Source organism: Homo sapiens, chromosome 9 (genome assembly GCF_000001405.40).
Source record: "Homo sapiens chromosome 9, GRCh38.p14 Primary Assembly".
In the NCBI taxonomy this organism is placed as follows: domain Eukaryota; kingdom Metazoa; phylum Chordata; class Mammalia; order Primates; family Hominidae; genus Homo; species Homo sapiens.
Genome location: NC_000009.12, coordinates 2,875,167 through 2,881,741, shown reverse-complemented (window position 1 = coordinate 2,881,741; position 6,575 = coordinate 2,875,167). Strand labels below are relative to the sequence as shown.

General features: G+C 44.4%; 1 pseudogene; it reads left to right on the top strand.

The window, feature by feature from the left end:
* On the top strand, positions 5,218-6,355 carry GPS2P1 (G protein pathway suppressor 2 pseudogene 1; annotated as a pseudogene).

Here is a 6,575-nt window from a genome sequence, read left to right as displayed (position 1 = left end):
CCTCTGCGACCCACACTCTTTAAGAGCAGAAGGAATGGCTACTTATTCCTTCCCCTACTTTATAATCTTATTCTTCTACCTAAAGGCAACAGGCTTGTGATCTAGCTGTCAGATATGGAGTGGCAGCTTATCCACTTTACAGAAGAAACTTCTGACTGAGTCCAGAATATGTGAAAATTCAGAAAAATCCACTTTTTGTCCATAGCTTAATTTTAAATGTACTGTCTTGCTAAAGAAATAATCTCAATCATTTATTCATTCCTTCATTCTTTCATCCTCTATTACCCTGGGTCAAAAATCCTATATAAAGGAAGAACTGAAGTTTGGTCATTTAAAGGAGAAATAAAAATACATTCTTTTAATATTTGTAGTATATTGTCCTTACTGAAAAGTTACTTTATCATTGTTATAATAATGTAAAAAGGAAGAAAATTTTTGGAAATCTCACTTATAGATTACTTATTAGGGTATAAGTGATTTTGGGGGGAACAACAGAAGCACTTATATATTGGAAGCACCAAAAGTGGCTGGTGGTGTTTTCCAGATATTTGGAAATACCTAGAAATTAGAATAAAAGAAAGTATTCGTTAACACAGAAACTCCAGAACCATGTTCTTCCAACAATGGAAGGGTTAAGACCATGAACTTTGAGTCAGGCACACCAGATTTGCATGTATGTAAAGAGTGGGAGATTTGGGGATCGAAGTGATGGCACCTGTAGAAGGCTGTTCTGTGCACTTAGGATTGCACTGCCAGGCCCACTGAGTGATGGATGGTCAAATGAAGAGCAGGTGCAATGCTCCATGGCCTCCTTGGCCCCTAACAGTCAGTAAGAGAAGTTGGTGCTGGGCTAGAGCAGGAGATAGAGATGCAGGTGGTCTCTAGAGTGCTACTCTTCAAACTTAAACGTGCACATGAATCACCTGGAGATCTTGTTAAAATGCAGAGTCTGGTTCAATAGTCTGGAGTATGGCTTGAGATTCTGTACTTCTAATAAACTCCCTGGAGATGCCAACACTGCTGGTCATGGGTCACACTTTGAGTAGCAAGGAGATGTGTTCTGTTTAACTCTCCTGTTGTGACTGCCATTGCAACCTCTCCACCTTCTTCTTTTGAAGCTGCTCCCTTGTTCTCTTTCCTTTTCTTCAAAGCACTGCCATATTCTTAATCCTGAGCACCAGTGCTGTAATTTCAGAAAAAAAATAGGCACACATTTTTTATCAGGTTTGACACATCATTGTATCCATTAGCACATCACTGGGTGCTCAGTGCTCTTCACTGGCCCAAGCCCTGGGAGCACACAGAAGACTTGGCCCCTACCCTCAAAGGAATAAAACACCATCAGTGACCATTCACCAGTAATCATTTATTGAGTGCCCTCTATTGATATTCTTATATCAATAAGACCAAAACAGGGAAGACCAAAACCATCGAAACCTTGTTAACCTTTCTAAGTCTCAGTTTTCTCAGATGTGGAATATGGATACTAACACATATCTCAAAGATTTAATTCAGGGTGAAATGAAATAAATGTAAAGTCCCTAGTAATCACTAGGTGGTGAATAGTTGTAATCCTTTCCTTTTAGTTCTATTAGGTTGTGGTACAGACACAGACACATGAACAGACAGAGTTTCAAAAGGGAAAATCTTAGTCTATGGTCTGAGGCCATGGCTGTTCTGACAAAGGAAAGCACTCTGAATAAGGTTTTTCAGGGACTCTCAGGAACCTAAACCACTAAGAGGCACCTGGCTCTTGTGGAGCTATACCCCTCTGTAAATCACGGTTTCATATTAGCAGACCTGCCTGGTGGCCTCGGGTTCTTTAGTAAAGCCGAGTCCCTTCTCTCATTTCCAGTGAATTCTCAGGGGAAATAAGTCTTATTCTCCCAAGCATTCATTTTTTTTCTGTTCTGCCTCTGAAACCTACTCTATTCCTAGTTAGGGAGTATCAGGAGCCCTCGTCCAATGCACATGGTGACTCTGCACTGACTTAGCCTTGCCGCTTGCCCTGCTCTCACCTGGTGCTCCAGTTTTCATAAACTTCCGCACTGTGCATGAAATCCAGGTCTCCACTTTGTACCCATATCTGAGAACTGGGTGTCTTTCTTTCCCATTCCATTTATAATAAATATTTATGGAGTACTTACTCTCAGCTAGGCATTGTGGTAGGTGTACGTGCTACCTGCCAATATTCCCAGTTTTCTTCTCTTTCTGGAAACGTGAGGATTTTATTTCCTAGGCCCCTTGAAATGAGACAAGGCCTTATGACTTCCATGACCCATCTACTGTGAGCAGAAGTGATGTGTGTCACCTCCATGTGGAAGCATTTGAGAGATGGTGTGAGATTCTTTGTACCTCTTCTTCCTCCTTAGTAATTGTAGGAGTCCTGTTGTGTTGACAGTGTCATGACACGGTATGGCCTCCTTCAGCCTGAGCCTCTGAATATGTGTGAGGTGAGAATCTCTCCTGTCAGCCTATGTTATACATGTAGTTTGAGCAAAAAATAAACCTCTGTTGTTTAAAACCACAGAGGATTGAGACTTTTTCTTATTGCAGAATGACCAAGCCTACCCTAGCTAATACAGCATCATCCCAAGCACCTCCCTTTTACATTTTAGTAGGAGGAATATGTGCAATAAACATATAAGCAAACAAATATGTAAAGTATTAGAAAATGATGAGTGCCATGAAGAAAATTATACTGGGAAACTGGATGCAGAGTGACTTGGAGGTTGCTGCTTACGCAGCAGTGCTCAGAGACTCCTCACAGAAGTGCTGGTAGTTGAGCTGATGAGGCATAGCCATATAAAGATTTAGAGAAAGGAACTCTGGCAGACGGAACAGAAGTCTGAGGTTTGAAGCAGATTGGATTGATCGTGTGTACTGTTCACTGCAGTTACTTTTGATAAGCAGACTGTATGTGAGCAAGAAAGGAAGCAAGAAAATCAGTCAGCAGGCTATTGTGATAGAACAAATGAGAGACGGGGCATTAAGACTAGGCTTTTAGTAGTGAAGTTGCTGAAAAGTGACCTGACTCAGGATCTATTCTGGAGACAGCGTAACAGAACTTGCTGACAGATTGGCTGTCGGTAGCAGAGGGAAAGAAGAATCAAAGGTCATCTCCCAGGTTTTTGGTCTGAGCAACTCAGTGTCATTTAATAAAATGGTAAAATTTAATAAAATGGTAAAGGGGAGGCCAGGAGCAGGTTTGGGAGGGAAAATCGAGAGTTTGGTTGTGAGCATATTAGGTTTGAGATGGCCACTTGCAGTCGAGTGGAGCTATTGGGCTGGCAGTTAGACACGTGTATCTGGAACTCAGGAGAAACCTTATCTGGAGACAGGGTTGGGAAAATCAGGGAGCATGCAGATGATAAAGCATAGGACCGTTTGAAGATAGCATAGAGATGAGAGGCAGGAGCAGAGAATTTGAACATTTAAAAGTTGGACAGAGAAGAAAGGGTCATCAGGCAGACTGAGAGCTTTACCCAGTAAGGTAGGAGGCATGCAGTAACATGAAGAAAATTGCTTCAAGAAGGAAAGATGACAATTTGTGTCAAATGTGGCTATAAGTTCAAATATGATGAAAAGAGAGATTTGGCCATTAGAATACCTAGCATGGAAGTTATCAGTGACCCTGATAAGAACCATTTCAGGAGTGAAGACTAAAGGGGATGTGACCAAGTAGAGAATCTAGACAGCTTTTCCCAGGAGTTTCAATGGGAAGAACAGCAGAAAAAAATGGAGTAGGAGTAGGGTCCCTGTATCTGAACCTCTGCCTTGACAACGTGTATAACACCTCATGCCCTCCAATTTTGGTTAGACTTGGGCCCCCAGCTTGGTATTTGTAGACTCCATATGGGCTTGAGTCTTCTTCTGAATCATATCCCCAAGACTGGGAATGTACACCTGCCAGACAGACCACTCCGAGAACAAATTTTTCCCTGCCAGAATCTCCATATAAAGTAATAGTAAACCACATCCTCAGGAGAGACATGAACAAAAAGAGAAAGAGTAAATAAATACATCTGTTCTTCACAAACTCAGAAAGGGTTTATGCACTTGATGACAGCCGATGATAATGTTGGATCCCCCAAAAACATGGCCATCAAGATGAGTGTGATGGTGAGAAAGTCACAGCTCTCACCTCATCAGCCATCAAGGTGACAGATGATCACAGTGCTGGGAATTATTTAAATTTAACTTTTGAATTGTTAAATACAATAAACTCAAATAAATACAATAGATTCAGACGGTTCAAAATTCAAAATGTAAAAAGGATGCACAATGATGTCTCCAACTGATCACTGTTTCCTACCTTCCAGTTCACTTCCCCCCAAAGAAACTAATGTTATTACTTTCTTGTCATTCCTCCATACATACATGCACAGTCTTCCCACCCTCCACCTTCTGACACAAGTGGCGTTTTACCCACATGCTATTCTGCATCTACAAAGCCAGAAATCTGCCAACGTGGAAAGAAGTAGGTTTTTGCAAATCCACTAACAGCTTCTGAATTCATAATTTTTTTTTAGAAAAGCAGTTATTTCTTAGGTAGTAAGCATGGTAAGTAGAGTCTAACTTGAGTTCCCATGTGTCTGGAGTGTCTGTTGAATACAGCTGACCTATGAGGAGGCAGAAGAGACCTGGGAGAATAAATATAGGAGATGTGACATTTGTGCCTAAGCATTCTGACACAAGTTCCCAGGGATGTCATGGAACCTTGCCGTCACTGATGTATCCACCTGCTATCATCCCCTCCCTTCCAGAACCTCTGGGCAAGCCCTGCCCTCCTGCCAGCACTCCCTTGGCTGGCTCAGGTCCTTGGTTGGCTCTCTCTTAAGTTAATCAGCTGCCAGAATCACCACCTGTCCCTTGTCAAAATTGGCCTTGTATTGCAAAACGCCTCCCTCTTGGCTGGCCATTCTTGCGATGCTTCCATCAGGATTTACCGTGGAACCAGGTCCCCATGACCCTAGTTTGATGTCCCACTCCCCACTGCTTGCCTGAGTCCCTCTCCAAGCAGGGGGCGTGTGCCTTTTAAATCTGAACCAATTCCAATATATAAAAACATAGAGCCCGGTTTTTAAAATGACCACCTGACACGCCAAGTGAAGAGAAGCTCGTTTTCAAATGATTCCCGGCTGTTATAATAGCATTGTGGGACTCTGGAAGGATTCGGCCCAGCCGCGGGCTGTGACGCAGAGGCCAGGGCGCACAGGAGACACGGAGAAAGCACAGAGAAGGCGGTCCCTGTTTGAGGTCTGGAGTCAGAGACAGAGCCAGACGCCCAAGGCCCGAGCGCCCACGGCAGCACCATGCCCGCAGTCTTGGAGCACCCCAAGCTTTCCAACGCCATGGCCAGAACACTGCACCAAGCACATTGTGATGGAGCAGGAGCATAAGCGACAGGAGAAAGAAGAGGTGGACAAGATGACGGAACAGAAGATGAAGGAAGAACAGGAGAGAAGGAAGAAAAAGGAGATGGAGGAGAGAATGTCACTAGAGGAGACCAAGGAACAAATTCTGAAGTTGCAGGAGAAGCTTTTGGCCCTACAGGAAGAGAAGCACCAGCTTTTCCTGCAGCTCAAGGAAGTTTTACATGAGGAAGAAAAACGGAGGCGAAAGGAACAGAGTGACCTGACCACCCTGACATCAGCTGCATACCAGCAGAGCCTGACTGTTCACACAGGTACATTACTCCTCAGCACGCAGGGGAGCCCTGGAGGACACAATCGCCCAGGCACCCTCATGGCAGCTGACAGAGCCAAACAAATGTTTGGACCCAAATTGCTTACGATCCGGCACTACGTTGGCCCAGCAACTGCTTTTGCGGAGACACCAGAGCATGGACAATTCCAAGGCAGTCCTGGTGGTGCCTATGGGACTGCTTAGCCCCCACCTCACTATAGGCACACACAGCCAGCTTATAGTCCTAGTCAGCAGCTCAGAGCTCCTTCGTCTTTCCCTGCAGTGCATTACCTATCTCAGCCACAGCCACAGCCCTGTGTCCTGCACAGCCACTTTCAGCCCACTGAGACAGATTTCCTACAGCCTGGTGGTGCCCTATCCTTGCAAAAGCAGATGGAACATGCTAACCAGCAGACTGGCCTCTCCCACCCATCCTCTTTGCGTCCCATGCACCCCCAGGCTCTGCATCCAACCCCTGGACTCCTTGCTTCCCCACAGCTCTCTGTGCAGATGCAACCAGCAGGAAAGTCGGGCTTTGCAGCTACAAGCCAACCTGGCCTTTGGCTCCCCTTCATCCAACACAGCCGGAACCTGCAATTCTACCACAAGTGACCATCAGATTATATCTTCAACACCATGCCCTTCCACCCCACCGTGGGTGAGGGTACAATAGCATTGTGCCTGAATGGTTCAGTCATCACAGAAGCAAGGAGGGCAATTTTATTTTATGTTTGACCTAGTAACAGAAATTGCGATTGGAAGTCAACTTGGGATACTTAAAACAGCTACTCATAATCTTGTCAATTAACATTTGTGCATTGCATTACTCTTTATGAAGCACTTTTATGTACACTGTCATAATACATTAGGGGGTGATGGTGGCTCCA